Consider the following 20339-nt stretch of genomic DNA (forward strand, 5'->3'; position numbering starts at 1 on the left):
TGTGAGCCAGGAACTCAAGGGAGAGGTTGGAGTTTGAAATATAAATGAGTCATAATTTTATAGATCATATTTGAAGTTCTTCAACAGAATACCCATAAAACTTTTGTGCTGGGAAGAGACAGGAAAGTTCTAATTCTCAAGAAGCTTAGTTGGGGTGGACAGACAAGTGACGAGTTTGTACTTTCAATAAAGTATGATGACAGGTAAATACTGAGTGCTTTAGGAGTACATAGGCGGAAGGAGAAACCAAAACAGTTTGTGTGTAGGGGTATGGCGGCAGTAATAAGCCTCCAGGGGAGCTTCTAGGCGTTAATAACTGAGGTTATTTGGTGGATTTCAATAACATTCAACTGAGAGAGCCATACTGTAAAAATTTTAACAATTTTGAAAATTGTGATAGCCTAGGAAAGTATAATCTCTGAAATGTGGGGAAAAGCGATTTACATTTCCCCTTACCTTCCCCCAGCTCCACAATTTGCCAGGGGTCTGCAACCCGCGTCCAGGTGCGACCCCAGTAGCACCGGAGCCAGGGATCTGCGCGCATATGTGAGGATGCACTGGGGCCAGCCGGTGGCTTTGCCGACCTCTGTCAGACACCGCTCCAGGGTCCGTCAGCGCCAGGCCCGCGGGGCTATGGCTGTCCGCAACTCCCGACACAAGCTGCAAGCAAGGCAAGAAAGCCGCTGGGAAACCTCACAGCAAGGATGCGCCTAGCTTGGAGCTCAGAGTCCAAAGTGCCACGGCTCACAGGTTCCAGACTCACCCCCAGCTGGAGCCAATGGCAGCGCCAGCGCTTTCGCGGGTGCAGGGGGGCGGGAAACAAAAATTACCACTGGTCGACCCAAGCGCCTTTGAACTGTCTCCAAACTTCTTATTGTACTTTTCAGGGGCCCACAAGGGGTAGGCCTCCTGGCTTTAATTTCTGCTTTAGGTAAAGTGGGTGTGTTGTATGCAGTAGGAAATCAGCGGCCTTCGCCACGCCCCCTGCCGGATCGCCCCGCCCTCCACCGCGCACCTGGCTCGGTCAGCGGCTAGTGCGGAGAGACACAGCGGAGATAGCGCGCCTGCTAAAGGCTGCCGCCGCCAACACCTTAGGTGAATACCGAGCTCCAGGAAGGTCGCTGTGGGTAGGGCATGTGGGAAACGAGGCCAGGGGGAGAAGGAGGCCTCAACGTGGCCAAAGCACCTTGATGATGCGCTCTGTCCCCGGAGGCGCGTTCCACGGCCGCTGCCGGCACCTAGGCAGAGGGATACGTTCCAGAAACACCTCAGCTTAGCGCGGGGATGGCCTTCTTGTGCGTGAGTCCCTCTGCACACGGGAACTGTGCGCCCTGGGCACTGCACCTTCCAGTATGTGGGCCGGAGAGGCGGGGGATCTTGCCCAGCGGGTCCGACAGGGCATGGAAGGAAGTAAATGGAAGCCGGTAGGTAAGTGTTATTTTACCGCGCACCCATAAAGAGGCTGGGGAGAAACCAGAAAAGGGAGCAAGTCTTGTTTAAAAAAAAAAAAATCAGCTGAACTGCAAGCATGACCAGCATCCTGTTGGGAACACTCAAAGGTCAATGTTGTAAGGAATACAGAAGGAGTTACTTTTCCACGTGCCTTAATAAGTTTATCATCGCGTGCATAAATGGAAAGATAAAGCATGTGGATTTAGAAACTTCCTTGATTTCTCTCTTCCTTCATTTTTTTAATTGTCTAGATAAAATCAGTTATGACAGAAACTCGCGTTTTCTGAGTCTCACTTTCTTTTTATCTTTTTTTTTCTCTTTCTCCTTTTATGAGAGGCAAGTGTTTCCCTTAATCTGAGATTAAGTGCCAAGTGGTAAAGCCCCAGAGTTACTCCGGGACATTCGTGATAAATCCTTCTAGCACCAGAGCCCACATTCTTAACCATGAGACATACTCACTTCTTAGGTGATACACCAAATCGGAAGGTGAAAATATAAATTAAAAAATGAATATTCAGGAAAAAGTATTTTTATATCTGTGTTTTTAGAACTGCACCCTTTAATGATTGACGGTTTGGGAAGAGTATGACTTCCAACAGACCATATACTTACTGGAAGAACTAAATACAGATAAAGATGCATTTTTGTTTTGTAACTTACACATCTTGGCAGAAAGTAAAGGAAAAATGAAAATAGTGTATTCCAAAGACTGATTTTGATTTGTCCTATTAAGATACTTGAAACTTCATGGCTCCATTTTTTTGTGTGTGTGGTTGAATATATGTAAAGTAAAATTTAGCATTTTAACATTTTTTAGTGTATAATTCAGTGGCTTTAACTACACTCACTTTGTTGTGCAACAGTCACCACCACCCCTTTCCTGAGCTTTTTCATCTCACCAAAACTAAAAACTCGGTACCCATTACACAACACCTGCCCATTCTCCTCTGACCCAGCTCTTGGCAACCACTGTTCTACCTTCTCTGTGAATCTGACTATTCTAGGTGCCTCATATAATGTGGAATCACATACTGTTTTTCTTTTCTGTGTTTGGCTTGTTTCACTTAGCATAATGCCCTCAAGGTTCATCCATATTGTAGCATGTGTCAGAATTTACTCTTTTTTTTTTTGAGAATGAGTTTCACTTTTGTTGTGCAGGGTAGAGTGCAATGGCACAATCGCGGCTCATTGCAAACTCTGCATCCCTGGTTCAAGCGATTCTTCTGCCTCAGCCTCCCAAGTAGCTGGGATTACAGGCATGCGCCACCAAGCCTGGCTAATTTTGTATTTTTAGTAGAGACGGGATTTCTCCATGTTGGTCAGGCTGGTCTTGAACTCCCGACCTCAGGTGATCCACCTGCCTCGGCCTCCCAAGTTGGTGGGATTACAGGCGTAAGCAACTGCGTTCAGCCTACACTCCTCTTTTATTAACACTTCTGTTCTTAATTATCTTGTGCATTTGTCCACACGTGGTTGTACACTATAGTTTATTCATGCAAAGCAACCTTTATTGGAATATTGGAATAATCACAAATTATACATTACAGTATTCAAAATAATGCAATTCTGCTGCACCATTCTGAAATGGGAGGCAGAGAGACCTAAAACTGAAGAGTTGTGAATTTCTACCAACTGAGGGCCAACCTGAAGTAAAAATATCTTTAAAAAGTTAGCTTGATTGTCAGTAATCATTTCATAATTTATACATATATTAAAGCATACGTTGTATACCTTAAAGATACATAATTTCTATGAGTCCTCATACCTCAAGCTAGAAAATATAATAATCAAGAGTTCAATTCGCAACAAACTTTTCAGGCACACATTTTTATCAAATATAAAGCTCTGTTTCATTTTAACCCCTTTATTCAGGGTTCTCCACCCAGTTTGCTTGGTCTACACAATTTCACCTTTGGATTTTTATTGTTGGATCATCTCTTCTTTTTTTCTTTTTTCTTTTCTTTTTTTTTTTTTTGAGGTAAAATTTACATAATAAAATTAACCCTTTAAAAATGTACAATTTTTTTTTTTTTTTTTTTTAGACGGAGTCTCGCTCTGTCCACCCAGGCTGGAGTGCAGTGGCGCGTTCTCGGCTCACTGCAAGCTCTGCCTCCCGGGTTCACGCCATTCTCCTGCCTTAACCTCCCAAGTAGCTGGGACTACAAGCAACCACCACCGCACCCCGCTAATTTTTTTTTTTTGTATTTTTAGTAGAGACGGGGTTTCACCATGGTCTTGATCTCCTGACCTCGTGATCTGCCCTCCTCGGCCTCCCAAAGTGCTGGGATTACAGGCGTGGTCCACCACACCTGGTGAAAAATGTACACTTTAACAGCAATGATCACATTCACTGGGTTCATGCGACTATCACCTTTATCTATTTAAAAACATTTTCACTGGCCAAGTGCAGTGGCTCACGCCTGTGGTCCCAGCACTTTGGGAGGCAAAGGCAGGAGGATCACTTGAGGCCAGGAGTTCAAGACAAGACCAGCCTGGGCAACATGGCAAAACCCCGTCTCTAAAAAAATACAAAAATTAGCCAGGCGTGGTGGTGCATGCCTATAGTTCCAGCTATTCAGGAGGCTGAGGTGAGAGGATCACTTGAACCTGGGAGGTCAAGGTTGCAGTGAGCCATCATCGTGCCACTGCACTCCAGCCTGGGCAACAGAACAAGACTCCGTCTCAAAAAAAAAAAAAAAAAAAAAAAGAAGGTGTTTTGTGTGATCTTTTCTCTTGAAGACCAGGAAGAGTTTATCTTTAAATGTCCCATTTTACTTCATGTGCCCTTAACTACACAATTGTAACTTACTCTTCACCTTTTTTTTATCCTAGTACATGCATAATTACGTTGATATATTTGTTTTTAGCCATAGCAAGTTTTGATGTGCATTCTTGTCAATATTGTTTGGTTCAAAAATCTATAAAGGCTAATGATTTTACTAGCTTATGACTTAAAGTTTACTGTTTCAGGAGAATTTTCCCAAATACTCAGTTGACTCAAGTTTATTTCAGCATAAATTTCTTGCAACATACTTTTAAATATTATCTCTTAATAGTGTATTCCATTGTTTTATTACTTTTTTCCTGGGGCTCCAACTTTGTGAATAGTGCCTTTGCTTAACTTTGATTTCTACCACTTTTCTGTGACCTCTTTTTTCCTTATGTCATTTTCATTCTCCAGGTTGTTTTTCTACCTTTCTTCAAAGCTAGTCATTATATTTGCATTTGAGTCTATTCTCTTTTGTGACTTTGTGGTTCTGTTTTTCTTTAGGAGATGACTTTGTCTTTCTTTCCTTCATTTCTCTTCCGGCTTTAATTAACTGTATTTTCATTTCCTTATGTTTTTGCCCATTTTTATTCTTATTTTTTAGATATCTGACTCAATTGGCTTTTCATATCCACAAATGCTTATTTGAATAAATTTTATTCTATTTGAAGTGTCAGCTTAGAATTTTATCCCGATTCATAGTTATTTTATTTGGGGAGATTTGAATTAGTCAAAGTATATTGGATCTGTTTTTTTTATAGTAACCTCTAAAACATGGAGTTTTCTTCTTTTCATTTTTTTGTGGATTTCTTGTGAGTTTTCCAGATTCCCAGTGCAGTGGCACCCTATTCTGCCAGGATAGCGAATTCCAGCTATGTAGCAAATTTGTTCAGGGTTTATGAGCAGTGTATGTCCTCTAGTTGGTTTTCTTTAGAATCTTAGGGTGTTAAAATGTCCCCCCCCCTTTTTTTTTAAGACAGAGTCTTGCTCTGTCCCATTTTTTTTTTCAGGAGATTTAAATCATTTATTAATTACACATGATAATGTATGATACACAAACTTCATTCCCATCTACAGTTTTATCTGATACCATCATTTAATTTAGATATATCGCATAGGATGTGCCAATGACCATTTTTATAACCAATAATTTCACGATTTTGCTTGGGTGATCCCTTTTAATGGTGAACTTCAGGTCACGACAGTACCTATCAGTTCAACTACACCAAGGTTTCTGAAGACAATGGTGTCTCCACCCAAGCAGGTTGTAAATAAATTCCAGATAGAATCTGGCATCACCCTGGAGGAATTCTAACTTCACACTCTTGGGGAAATTTACCAAGATGGCTTCAGAGTAAACCAGCTTTACATAGCACATTTGAAAAAAAAAAAAAGACGTATTATTCAAGGTCATGATCAGACTATTACATTTAGCAACCAACAGCGTGGGTGCAAAAAAAAATCTACATTAAAACCCTGTGTTGGAATGTTTTACACTTTCCACAGAATAGAAACTAAAATAACCTGTTTTGCAATTAGTTGAAAATACAGTCCTGGAGTTTTTCGCCCATACACATGAGTATTTGTCTAAAACATGTCTTAACATGTCTTAACATGGACATAAAACGTGTCTTAACATGGTCAGCTTAACCTAAAAGCCTGAGTCAAAAGGTGAAAGTTACAGAAGACTCGGGGAGGGAAACATGCAAAAATAGGTGCAAAATGCCTTTTAAGGTAGGTCAGTGGGGAAAACAAGGGCTTAGGTAACAGGGCGGCTAATGGGCCCAGTGGATTAAAATGTTCACTTTATTCCTGAAACCCAGGCTGGCTGCTCTAAGTTGATCTGGTGCCTTGGTCACTCGTGGCTTCTTTCTTCTATGCCAGCTCTGTCTTCTCTACACTTCCTCTGGAGGAGTAGGCCTTGACACAATTACAAGTGAGTTGATTTTTTTTTTAACTTCTGAAATTCTATCTAAATTAGTTAGCTGATTTGTGCTCCTTTTTAGAAAAGGGAAAATGGATTAGCATTTGATAAGCACCTACTGTTAGGTACTTCTAGACACTTCATCAATTCCTGTATTTATGTCTTAGGGGAACTGTAAAAAGTGGTTAATTATTTCTGTTTTGAAGGTTAGGGAAAATTTAGAGATATTAAGTACTCATGGTCATAAGATGTTAAGTTGTAATTAATATGTAATTTGTGGGAAAATGTTTTGAGGATATTTAAATGTCTTTTTATCAAAATGTTAACCACTACCTATATCATTCCTATATAATGATTCCTATATAAGCCGGTTATTACAATGAAGACTGGAAAATGTTGACTTTTAAAATACTATTCTTTCTACATTTTTAATTGTTTCTTCTATGAGTAAGAACTTTCCTTCTACTTCATTATTTTTTTTTTATCAGTAGGAACTCATGGATCTTTATTTTATTCAATAGGTTATGACATGTTACTATTATTATTGATTTTAATGCGGAAATTACCCAGATTTCTTCCATGGAAGTCCATTCAAATTGGCTTCTGTATCCTTTTGACATATACCTATCACTTATTTTTATTGTTTCCTTTTTTTTTTTTTTTTTTTTTTAGCACAACAAGATATTTTAGGCTTATTTTGTTCTTTCCCTATCCCAGCCCTGGAATCCGCCATTTCTCCAAGGAGCTTTGATTCGTTTTTATGGTGAATGGAATTGTTGAAACCAAATCTGGATGCTAGGTGTACACATTGTTACTAGGGTATCATTGCTTATAGACTCTCCCAGGGGGCAAATCTGTACAAACATGCATACACACATACATATGTATACACACATATGTATGCCTGTCTATAAAAAACATTCATTCATACTGAGACTAGTCTAGTACCATGGAGTTCATTCCTCTCCTTCCTGGTTGCATGTGTTAGTCCTTTCTTCAAAATGAAGAACCTGGCTCCCATTATCCTAAATATATTTACTCATTTGCTCAATCGTAGAATCCTAGTTTTTTTCCCCCCCATAAGCCTGGTCTATGGAAAGCAAACCTACTAACTATAATTTAGTACTTGTGTATGATTCTTATCATTTTTTTTTGAGACGGAGTCTCGCTGGGTCATCCAGGCTGGAGTGCAGTGGCGCGATCTCGGCTCACTGCAAGCTCCGCCTCCCGGGTTCACGCCATTCTCCTGCCTCAGCCTCCTGAGTAGCTGGGACTACAGGCGCCCGCCACCACGCCCGACTAATTTTTTTTTTTTTTTTGTATTTTTAGTAGAGATGTGGTTTCACCGTGTTAGCCAGGATCATCTCGATCTCCTGACCTCGTAATCCACCCACCTCAGCCTCCCAAAGTGCTGGGGTTACAGGCGTGAGCCACTGCACCCGGCAGATTCTTATCATCTTAAGATTGAAGGTTTATGGTCAAAATGCTATTTCAGAAGTTACTGGGCTAAGTTATTTTCTTCTCCTTTGCTGTGTATATGTAATTCATTTGAAATATAGTGTTGTTGTTGTTGTTGTTGTTGTTGTTGTTGGAGACAGAGTCTCGCTCTGTTACCAGGCTGGAGTGCAGTGGTGTGATCTCAGCTCACTGCAGCCTACAGCTCCTAGGTTCAAGTGATTCTCCTGCCTCAGCCTCCTGGGTAGCTGGGATTACAGGTGCCCGCTACCTCGCTCGGCTAGTTTTTGTATTTTTAGTAGACACAGAGTTTCACCATGTTGGCCAGGCTGGTCTTCAACTCCTGACCTCAGGTGATCCACCCGCCTAGGCCTCCCAAAGTGGTAGAATTACAGGTGTGAGCCACGGCACCTGGCCTGTAATATAGTTTTGTTCGTATTCTGGTTATGGGCTGGATTGTATCCCCCCAAAATTCATATGTTGAAGCCCTAAATGCTAGTACCTCAAAATGTGACTGTATCTGGAGATAGGATTTTTAATGAGGTAAGTAAATTAAAAGGAAGATGACAGGGTGGGCCCTAATCCAGTCTGACTAGTATCCTTATAAGAGGAAATTTGGACACAAGACACATACAGAGGGAAGACCATCTGCAAGCCAAGGAGAGACCCCTTAGAAGAAACCAAACCTGCCAACACCCTAGCTGGTACTTCCAGCTTCCAGAACTGTGACACAACTGGGTAGCTGTTATTTAAGCTACCCAGGCTGTGGTGTTCTGTTACAGCAGCAATAGCCCAGGCCAACTAATACAATTCTATTTAGAAATTTCCCTCCGTTTTTCATGATTTTTTAAAATTATATGTGACCTTAATAAGAATCCACAATTCAGAATTATTCAAAAATAATTCATATGGAATTATCATTCCCCCTTTCTCCTTCCATTTCTTCAACATCCAATCTGCTCCTATAGGTAATTAGTTTCATTAGATTCAGTTTCATTTTTTTATTTTTCCTTGCAAAAATTAGCTAATACATGTAAATTTTGTTATTGCTTCTTTGTTTCATACAACAGGTAACATACTGTATTTTTTTTTTTTGGCATTTTACTTATTTCACCTAACCATATCCTAGAAATCACTGCATATCAATTCCATGAAATTTTCTTTGCTTATTCATTTTTATAGTATCATAGTATGCACTGATTATGATATTAGTTTGCTAGGGCTGCCATAATTAAGTACCACAAACCGGGTTGCTTAGCAGAAATTTATTCTCTCATAATTCTGGAGCTAGAAGTCTGAGACCAGGGTGTTAGCAGGGTTGGTTCCTTCTGAGGTCCTTCTGAGAGAGAATGTGTTCTGTGCCTCTGTCCTAGCTTATGGTAGTTTGCTGACAGTACCATTCTTTGGGTTGTAGACACATCACTCCAGTCTTTGCCTTTATCTTCACGTGACATTTTTTTCTGTGTGCATGGCTGTCTGTGTGCCCAGTTTTCCCTTTCTTATAAAGATACCAGTCATACTGGATTAGGGCTCTCCCTGATCACTTCATCTTAACTTAACCATCTGCAAAGACCTTGTTTCCAAACAAGGTCACATTTACAGGTACTGGGTGTAGGACTTCAACATCCTTTTGGAAGACACAGTCTACCCATAACAAGTATGTACCATACCTTATTCAGCCATTCTATAGAAGAGCATTTAGGTTATTTTCAATATTCTGAAATTCTAAACACATTGCATGTTGTCCATATGTATTTTCATATTATTCAATGTGTGCCTTTCTGCTTCTGTACCTTTCAGAAGTGTGTTTAAGTTTTCATCATATAGTTTTTGTGCATTTCTAATTAACATTTTTCCTAAATTATTTTTTGCTACTGTAATGGGATTTTTTTGTAGTGTTATTTTTTCTAACTTATTAATTATATGTTTGAAGACTCTTGATTTTTGTTGGTTAACTCTATATCATTTTACCTTACTGAATTTATTGTTTGAGCTAGTTTTATCTTTTGATTGTTAGGGCTTCTAGATATGCTGTCACATCACTTGCAAAAAGGAATTGCTTTATGTTATATTTTTCTTTTCTTTTCTTCTCTCTTTTTTTTTTTTTTTTTTTGAGATGGAGTCTTGCTCTGTTGCCCAGGCTAGAGTGCAGTGGCTTGATCTCGGCTCACTGCAAACTCCACCTCCTGGGTTCACGCCATTCTCCGGCCTCAGCCTCCCATGTAGCTGGGACTACAGGTGCCCACCACCACGCCTGGCTTACTTTTTGTATTTTTATTAGAGATGGGGTTTCACAGTGTTAGCCAGGATGGTCTCCATCTCCTGACCTCGTGATCTGCCTGCCTTGGCTTCCCAAAGTTCTGGGATTACAGGCATGAGCCACCACGCCCGGCCTTATGTTGTATTTCTCAATTCATATATGCCTCTAATTGATTTCTCGAATCTGAGTTTATTTCCATGTTGATCTTGTATGCTCGTATTGGTGAAATCACTTATTAGTTGAAGGAATTATTTTGAAGATCCTTTGGGATTTTCCCCATAGTTCCTTATATTATTTCCAAATAGGGACAGTTTTACATCTTCCTTTATAATCTATATGTTTTTTCTCGACTTACCATGCTTGCTAGAAATTCCAGTACCATATTGAATAATAGTGGTGAAAGGTGGACATCCTTGTGTTTTCCTTACCTTAGGGGAAAGGCATACATTCTTTCTTTAAATATTATGTTACCTGTAGGTTTGGAGTAGATGTTCTTTATCAAGTTGTGGAAGTTCTACACTGTTGATAATTTTCTGAGTGTTTTTATCATGAATAAGTATTGAGTTTTATTGAATGCTTTCTCTACGTCAATGAGTATGATCATGTGATTTTTCTTTTTTGACATGTTTGTATAGTTAATTACATTGATTTTTAAAATATTGAACCAGCTTTGAATCTATGGAAGGGATCCCCCTTGGTCATGCCATTCGATTCTTTTATACAGTGTTGAACAATATATATTTGCTTGCATTTTGCTAAGAGATTTTGCATCTAAATATAGAGAGATATTGGTCTGTAGCTTTGTGGGGGTTTTTTGTTTTTTTTTTCTGGTCTTCACTTAATTTTGGTATTAAGGTTGCTGGCCTCATTAAATACATGGGAAGCAGTCTCCTTTTCTATTTCCAGGAAGGCATTGTGTAGAATTGGCATTAGTTCTTTAAGCATTTGGTAGGGTTTGGCAGTAAATATGTCTGTGACTGGAGATTTCCTTTTGGGACTTTTTGAATTAAGAATTTGATCTGCTTTTTTATTTTATTTTTTATTTTTTTGAGATGGAGTCTCACTCTGTCACCCAGGCTGGAGTGCAGTGGCACGATCTCAGCTCACTGCAACCTCTGCCTCCCAGGTTCAAGTGATTCTCCTGCCTCAGCCTCCCCAGTAGCTGGGACTACAGGCATGTGTCACCACGCCCAGCTAATTTTTGTATTTTTCATAGAGATGGGATTTCCCCATATTGGCCAGGTGGGTCAAGAACTCCTGACCTCAAGTGATCCACCTGCCTCGGCCTCCTAAAGTGCTGGGATTACAGGCGTGAGCCACCGCACCTGGCCTGGTGTGTTTTTTAGAAACAGGGTCTTGCTCTGTGGCCTAGGCTGCAGTGCAATGGTGTGATTATAGCTCATGGCAGCCTCAAACTCCTGGGCTCAAACAACCCTCTCACCTCAGCCTCTCAAAGTGCTGGGATTACAGGCATGAGCCACTGCGCCTGGCCTTGATTTTCTTAATAATTATTTGAGTAGTGCTATTTAAGTTGTTTATTTCCTAATAATAGATGTTGTGGTTATTTGTGTTTTTTTGAAATTAGCCATTTCATCTTACTTGTCAGGTTTATTATATCTGGAGAATTATTTGTAATATTTCCTTAATATAATTTTTATATCTTCAGGATCTGGGATTATATCCCCTGGTGCATTCCTAATGTTGGTGATTTGTGTCTTCTCTCTTATTATTTCTATTAGTCATATTAGAGGTTAATCAGTTTTACTGGTCTTTTAAAAAATGCTTTTTGTTTCATTTTTCTCTATTTTTCTGTTTTCAATTTCATGATCTCATTTGTATTATTTTTTGCTTGCTTTGGTGTTGCAGGAAGTCAGGGACCCTGAACAGAGGGACCAGCTGAAGTCACAGCAGAAGAACATAAATTGTGAAGATTTCATGGACATTTATTAGTTCCCCAAATTAATACTTTTATAATTTCTTATGCCTGTCTTTACTGCAATCTCTGAACATAAATTGTGAAGATTTCATGGACATTTATCACTTCCCCAATCAATACTCTTATAATTTCCTATGCCTGTCTTTAATCTCTTAATCCCATCATCTTCCTAAACTGAGGATGTATGTCGCCTCAGGACCCTGTGATGATTGCATTATCTGCACAAGTTGTTTGTAAAGCGTGTGTGTTTGAACAATATGAAATCTGGGCACCTTGAAAGGAACAGGATAACAGTGATTTTCAGAGAACAAGGGAGATAACCATAAGGTCTGACTGCCTGCAGGACCGGGCAGAACAGAGTCGTATTTCTCTTCTTACAGAAAGCGAATAGGAGAAATATTGCGAATTCTTTTCTCAGCAAGGAATAGCCCTGGGAAAGGAAAGCATTCCCAGGGGGAGGTCTCTAAAATGGCTGCTCTGGGAGTGTCTGTCTTATGTGGTTGAAGATAAGGGATGAAATACACCCTGGTCTCCTGCAGCGCCCTCAGGCTTGCTAGGATTAGGAAATTCCAGCCTGGCGAATTCTAATCAGACCAGTTGTCTGCTCTCGAACCCTATTTCCTGCTAAGATGTTTATCAAGACAATGCGTGCCCAGTGGGACATGGAACCTCATCAGTAATTCTAATTTCACCCTGGCCCTGTGATCTCGCTCTGCCCTTCTGCGCTTGTAATCTTTTATTGCCTCTTGAAGCATGTGATCTGTGTGATTTACTCCCTGTTCATACCCCCTTCCCCTTTTCAAATCCCTAATAAAAACTTGTTGGTTTTGCGGCTCAAGGGGCATCACGGAACCTGCCGACATGTGATGTCACCCCTGGAGGCCCAGATGTAGAATTTCTCTCTTTGTACTCTTTCTCTTTATTTCTCAGACTGGCCGACACTTAGGGAAAATAGAAAAGAACCTACATTGAAATATTGGGGGCTGGTTCCCCCAATACTTTGGTTTTGTTTTTCTTTTTGTTTTATTTTCTGTATGCGAAAGCTTCAAGTATTGATCCAACATGTTTTCTAATATAAGCATTTAGTGCTATAAATTTCCCTCACAGCTCTTGGGTATTGGTATACCACACATTTTTATATGCTGTATTTTCATTTGATTCTGGGTAGATACTTTTGTTATTCTTTGTTTGTTTGTTTCTATTTCCCATGAGATGAGACTTCTTCTTTGACCCATGGATTATTTAGAAGGGAGTTGTTTAGTTTCTAAGTGTTTGGAAATTTTCCTGTTACCTTTTTCCTGTTGATTTCTAATTTGATTCTATTTTGGTTAGAAAGCATATTCTGTATGATTTCAGTTTTTTTAATGTCACAGGACATAATTCCAAAAGTCCCTGTGGACCTTTCTCTTCTGTTTTTGTCTCCCTTCTCTCTGTTGGTCAGGGTAGTTTCTCTTTCCAGGTTCACTGGTTCTCTCCTCTCTCCTTTCCACTCTGTTGTAGAGCCTGTCTACTGAGCTATTTATTTCAATTCTTTCATTTTGTTTGAAATTTTATTTGAGATGGAATCTGACTCTGTCACCCAGGCTGGAGTGCAGTGGCATGATCTCTGCTCACTGCAGCCTCCACCTCCCAGGCTCAAGTGATTCTCCTGCCTCAGCCTCCTGAGTAGCTGGGATTGTAGGTGCCTACCACCACACCTGGCTAATTTTTATATTTTTAGTAGAGACAAGGCTTCATTATGTTGGCTAGGCTGGTCTCAAACTCCTGACCTCAGGTGATCTGCCCACCTTGGCCTCTCAAATTGCTGGGATTACAGGCGCAATTATTCCATGTTTTTATTCTTTTCTTTTCTTTTTTTTTTTTTTTTAGACAGAGTCTCGCACTGTCACCCAGGCTGGAATGCAGTGGCGCGGTCTCGGCTCACTGCAAGCTCTGCCTCCCGGGTTCACACCATTCTCCTGCCTCAGCCTCCTGAGCAGCCAGGACTACAGGCACTGGCCACCACGCCCGGCTAATTTTTTTGTATTTTTAGTAGAGACAGGGTTTCACTGTATTAGCCAGAATGGTCTCGATCTCCTGAACTTGTGATCCCCCCGCCTCGGCCTCTGAAAGTACTGGGATTACAGGCATGAGCCACTGTGCCCGGCCTCATGTTTTTATTCTTAAAATTTTTATTTGATTTTTCTGTGTGTCTTCTATTTTACTTCTATTTTTCTACCTTTTCTTTTGATTCAAGCATTTATGTAATTGCTCACTGGGGCCTTTTCATGGGATGTGCTTTAAAAATCTCTTTTTAGAGAGCCCTGGGTGGTGGGGTGAGCATGGAAGTCTGCCTCCCTGCCCCCTCCTTAGCTGAAGGTGGTGGGGATGGAGCCACATTTTTTTCCTGTGGTGTTTTCCTAGAGTTGGGTGGTTACTGTCTAAAAGTTTTCTGGCTTGTTAGGCTGATCCTTTAGTGGGGCTTTTTTTTTTTTCCTCTATTTCCATTACCATTTCCAGGTTGATTCTTCTTCAGCTCCAACTATAGAATACATGAGATGACAAAACCACCCAAGTCCCAGGGGCCTTAGCCAGCCTGCTTTTCTCTACCTTTCATATTCATCTTATGTTTGTTTTAAATATAACTTCCAGCATTGTTATCTACACTTAATAGGAGAAGCAGAGAAAGGTGTTTACTCCATTTTGTCTGGAAGTGGAAGTCCATTGTTTTTATTTTTTAAAGTATTTTATTTTACTTAGCAATCAGCAGTACATAGTAGTTTGACAAAGCAGAAAGTGCATGCATTTCCCTTTCAGTGTTAACTGTGAACACCTGGCTGTCTCTCTTCATGAATATTTATGGAGATAAGTGTTGGGCATTGTAGTAAGGCGAAAAGAGAGATGAAAAGATGAATGGATGAAGAGACAGAAAGAAAACTGGCATTGTTTAGTAATAAATAGGTTTAATAACAAAAAAATTAATGTTACTCAAATTTAAAAAGAAAAAGTAACTAGAGAACTAAAGAAATTGCTGTTCTTCAAGAGAACTATATTGAACAAGAGGAAATCCTTGTTTTGTAATATTTCTCTATGAGTGAAAGAAAGAAGGTAAGACAGTTATGAGAGACTCAGTATGTTTGTGTCCACATGATTAGACATTCAACCTTGCTTACATTTCTTCTCCCTCTCTTTTGTCCTCTATGGACTGTTTTTTAAATTGTTGTAAAATTATTTTTACTTTGTCAAGATTTACTTATTTAAATTTTTGTTCCGGACCCATATTTATTCCTGTAACTGTTTTTCTCAATTTAACATTTAAATTCTCATTATACCATGTGTTCTACATTGATCAATTAAATGGTTCCAACCACCCTCTTACAAGGACAAAAAAGAAAAAAATATGTCTGGTCTTAACAACAATGTAGTAAGCCAAGAAAGAAAAATAAAATGTATAAAGATTGGGGTAAAAAAACAGCCCTCATTACCATTCATTCTGTAGTAATTTTATTCCCTAGTTCTTCATTGTGATCCTCCCTTTTTTCTTGGGTAGGGGGGTGGATTTAAGTATCAAGTAGTTAAAATGTTCTCCTCTCAACCTGTATCTTGAATAATGAGAAGAAAAATGTTCTTCTCTTTGTCTTTGCACGTTTGAGAATCCCTACTAAATTTATTAGCTCCATAATACATTTTTGTTCTCAGAGTAATTCATAGCTTTTCATCTCTCTTTTTAAAAAAATCATGTTGGGTGGTGTGTATTTCATTAAATTCATGTCCTTATTGAATTACTCTATAGCACAAGCATTTTTAGAAGATTTCTTGTATTCCTTGGATCTTAGTTTTCCCAGAATGTGTTCTTCCTTGGATGTTTTTCATACCATGTTCTTTCTCTCCTGTATTGGTGTTATTTCTGTGCATAATGATAATGACAGGATCCTTTTTAAAAAATATTATTGATCCTAACGTGGCTGGTTTTAGCCAGACCTCTAATTGGCTGTGATTAGTACAGATGGGTTCTTGTAGACACTCCTCCAAAAATATTTGTGACATCTGTCTTCTAAGCTGCATCTAATGCATTTGATGTTGCATTCTCTGTTCCTTTTTAATAGCAGAGGCCTTGGGGTAGGGGATGGGAGAACCTGTCTAAGAAAACCTTTAGCTCTTTGTTGTAGGCCTGAAGACTGTTCTTTCCCCTCTCAACTTTGAATAAATACTCCTGGGGTCTCATTCTCCCAACTCTACATATTGCCTCAAAAATTGGCAAGCCCCTGGCAGCCCCTCCCAGTGTCTGCAGAAGAGTAGTGTATAAGGGCTTCTGCTCTTGATGGTGTATTTCCTTGATTTTTCCTCTCAAGCTGCCTACTCTACCTGCATCTCCCCATCTTTTAACAGTGCCTATTAAATGATGGCCCATCAATATTGTTACTGTAATTCCTAAACTGATTTTCAAAGCATTCTTATTTTTTTCTATCAGAGATAAATAAATCATTTAGGAAGAGATTCATTTGAACATTCTTGTTTATAAGCCAAAGGGTTTCCAAAGAGGAATAGTTTGAAGATTGACAAAAATGGGGATAATTTGTGAGAGTGAATGCCTGGAGAGTATCAGGGAACATCTAGAACATACAATAAGAGGATACATGGAAGGGCAACTTTTCCTTTGAGACAGGAAGGGAAAGACATATGGATGAAATGAGTGAAATTATACAGAGTTGGGATTTCCTCTTGATGGCTTCTTCTTCAGGTAACCACAGAGTCTGAGCACTATCAAAAATTCTTCCTGGGCCAGGCATGGACTCCTAGTGGATTGCCTGAGCTCAGGAGTTCAAGACCAGCCTGGGTAACATGGTGAAACCCCATCTCTACTAAAAATACAAAAAAATTAGCCAGGCCTGGTGGCATGTGCCTGTAATCCCATCTACTTGGGAGGCTGAGGCACAAGAACCACTTGAACCTGGGCGGCGGAGGCTGCAGTGAACTGAGATCGTGCCACTGCACTCTAGCCTGCGTGACAGAGCAAGACTCTGTCTCCAGAAAAAAAAAAAGGGGGGGCATGGTGGCCGGTGCCTGTAATTCCAGCACTTTGGGAGGCCGAGGCAGGTGGATCACCTGAGGTTAGGAGTTCAAGACCATACTGGCCAACATGGTGAAAAGTTGTCTCTACTAAAAATACAAAAAAGTTAGCTGGGTGTGGTGGTGGGCACCTGTAATCCCAGCTACTCAGGAGGCTGAGGCAGGAGAATCACTTGAACCCAGGAGGTGGAGGTGGCAGTGAGCCGAGATTGCGCCACTGCACACCAGCCTAGGCAACGAGAGTGAAACTCCATCTCAAAAACAAAACAAAACAAAACAAAACAAAACAAAACAAAACAAAACAAAACAAAAAAACTTTCTGTACATCTCCTCCACCTTTCCTGTGACTATCAGCTTTACACATTATGTCAGGAACATTTTCTGGATAGCTAAAAGGGGGTGAATATGCTTATATTTTAGGAGCCAGTGACATTCAAGAATGTTGTTGTAGACTTTACTGAGGGGGAGTGGAGATAACTGAGCCCTCCACAGAGGAATCTGTACAGAGAAGTGACACTGGAGAACTGTAGGAATCTAATCTATGTGCGTAAGAGCCGTTTTCTTTTGTTACTGAAAATCTTCCTATTTGAGGGTCTTTGCGTCCTCAGTTATTAACAGCCATGAGTCTTCATAGCATTTTACTCTGCTGGGCTTATATGGTCCTCAAAACCAAAGGTTATAAAATCTAGTTGGCCCCCAAGACACAAGATGTTCCTAATACATTTTCCCCAGGTAAATTGCCTTTATTTTTAAAGAGTTGATGTTAGGAGCTTTCTATACTACTCCTCCCTTAAACCTCACAGTAGCCATCATTCAGTGAGCCAAACTTTAAGGGGTTAGGGCTGAATTTTCAGATATTTGTTATATCTTTCTTTCCCCATGGGTGGGCTGTCATCCCTTCAAAGCCAGTGTTATCTCCCAGCTGGAGCTAGAAGAGTTGTGGATGATGGGCTGGGCACCCCTAACAGCCACTTGTCCAGCTGAGAAATAGAAGCATGATGTTCTTGGAATTGGTCAATGAAGAAGACATTTCTTACAGTGTTGTCTGAGGAATTCATCTCATAGTCATATCTATTTTCACTTATTCTTTATCTTTCTATCCTATTAGTTTCTCCTTCATATTTCTGAGAGGAAGATGTGTTCTTCCTTAACTAAGTTCACATTTCCTTTTGTTTTCAAACTTCCTTCCCTTCTTTTCTCACTCATCTCTTCCCACTCGTCTCTTTACTGTGGCTTGCAAGCATGATGACTCCTTCTCACTCCAGCATTCTCAGCTTTGTCTTTCACAGCCTCCTTTCTTTAGTCATTTAGCTTTTCATGACTCTTTCACCCAATAAATAGAAATTCACGTACTGTACATTGTCAGATCTCACTGCTTCAGAGCAAGATTTGGTTAAAACTTCCTAGAAAGGAGTTTAGCCACATGTATCAAGAGTTTTAATAATACCCTTTTAGTCATTCTTCTGACAGGACCCCTGTCTAGTAGATATCATAGAGGTCAACAATGAGTCATGAACAGTTCTGTTCCCTTGGCATTGTAAGTAACTGATTTCAATATCATGGCATTGTTTATGCAAATTATGAAATATCTACACATTGAAAAATTATAATGTTATTAGAAACATATTCACAGAAATTTTCAATGATGCGGATAGTGCATTATGTAAAGAAAGTAAACTATGAAATTTTAACTACACTTAAATTTAGCAATAGAAATACTTAAATCAAATAACACTTATTACATGTTGACTCTCCTCCCACCTTTAAATGCAGTTATTATGATATGCTATTAAGTGTAATTTTTCTCCTTATTTTATACCCAGGCATTTCCTAAGACTTGCTATTTCTGTCCCTCCTTCCTACTTCAGTGTACTGACATCCCTGTGTATTTTGGTTCTTTTGCCCCCATTTGTTCAGCAAACATTTATTGGGCACCATGCAGGAAAGGATCTAAAGGGAGCACTCCAGGATGTTGAGGGTAGAGATTGCTGGTGTTGAAGTTGCAAGTCATTTTTCTTTCCTTCTTTATTCTCTTTCATTTCTTCTAAACTTTCCACAATGGGCATATTTTCATTTAAAAATCTAACAGAAAGAAACACTCTGTATGATATATACTGTTACCATGTGCATTTTTCCATAATTCCTTGCTGATTAAATTTCTTTTTGCTTCTCAACCATCATTTTGGTTTCTAAATACTGTCCTTCTACTGAAATTACTTATTCAGAGGCAACCATTAGATTTCTTCTAAAAAATAGGCTAGGCTTTTTCCAGTTTTCTTCATCTTCAGTTTTTCTGACATACTTTGCCATTTTGATTATTGACTTTGGGTGTAATAAAAATGTATTGTGGAAATTTTAGAAAATACAAATAAGCAAAAAATAAAATTTGAAATCAGTGATCTCATGTCTTGGAGAGAGATAGCTCATGGGCATATGTTATGTTGTATTTATTATCTACTATCTAGAATAATCATTACTCATCATATAAAATAACTGATAGGCATTTAATTTTATGGATTTGCCATTACTGATGAAATTAGGTACCTGGGATTGAACATTTAGGTTATTGCCAATTTCTTTCCTTTATAAATGATACAGATTTAAACATCCTTGTAAATGTCTTGCACATTTGTTCCGTCAGAGCTTAGTATAAAATTCTTAGAAAATGAACTTTTTTGCAGCGAAGATTATGAATAACAATCACTTAAAGCTTTTGTTAACATGTTGTTGTTTTTTTTTCAGAAGGGCAATACTAGTTTGTTTACCTATCCCTCAGTTATACCTGCATGTGACCTGGAACACGTGGCAGTTCATGGTTTTTCATTATATTTTTATTACTGCTGAATTTTTACATTTTTCAATGTAGTTACTGACCCTTTACTTTTTATATTTTATAAGCTGTCTGATCTTCTCATTAGCCCATTTTTTTCATTAATGTGAAAATATGTTTTCAGGATACAGAGCTGCACTGTACAGTACTAATGCATTTGGCTCGTAAGGCAACTGAAACATGGCCAGTTCTCACTGGGACATGCTATGAGTATAAAATATACCCCAGATTTTGTAGACTTAGTAAGAAAAGAAAGACTGTAAAATATCTCAATACCTGTTATGCTGAATCCCTGTTTAAATGATAATATTTTGGATATATTGGGTTGAATAAAATATATTCTTTAATTTTACCTGTATTCTCTTACCTTTTTAAATGTGGCTACTGGAAAACTTAAAAATAAATATGCGCATCACAGCACTTGTGGCTCTCATTATATTTCTGTTGAAAAGCACTGATACAAATAGTCAATTCCTGTATATTTTGACTACTTTTGTCTTTTAGCTTTTTTTGAGTTCATTATTATTACAAAAATAAAACATGCTTGATTAAAACATTCAAACCATATAGAAATTCAAAAAAATACAAATCTGCTATAAAAAATCTTTCATCCCTCTGCAGTTCCAATGATAGCCAGTATTAAGCCATTGAGTACAGAATCTGGGA

General features: G+C 39.1%; 1 long non-coding RNA gene across 1 annotated transcript, besides 1 other annotated feature; it reads left to right on the forward strand.

Annotated features, from left to right (window-relative positions):
* Nucleotides 1-1043: 1043 nt before the first annotated feature.
* On the forward strand, nucleotides 1044-11810 carry LOC102723373 (uncharacterized). Its single transcript, NR_119378.1, has 3 exons — nucleotides 1044-1428; nucleotides 6043-6155; nucleotides 11725-11810. It is a non-coding gene; the product is annotated as an uncharacterized LOC102723373 (long non-coding RNA).
* Nucleotides 5527-6726: an enhancer, noted in NCBI's record as "MED14-independent group 3 enhancer chr16:53411888-53413087 (GRCh37/hg19 assembly coordinates)". NCBI's record gives its function as "activates an origin of replication core promoter dependent on BRD2, BRD4, P300/CBP and CDK7 cofactors, and independent of MED14, by STARR-seq in HCT116 cells {active_cell/tissue: HCT116}" and the evidence as "EXISTENCE:reporter gene assay evidence [ECO:0000049][PMID:35650434]".
* Nucleotides 11811-20339: the final 8529 nt, after the last annotated feature.

The sequence above is a fragment of the Homo sapiens genome, chromosome 16 (genome assembly GCF_000001405.40).
Source record: "Homo sapiens chromosome 16, GRCh38.p14 Primary Assembly".
Classification (NCBI taxonomy): domain Eukaryota; kingdom Metazoa; phylum Chordata; class Mammalia; order Primates; family Hominidae; genus Homo; species Homo sapiens.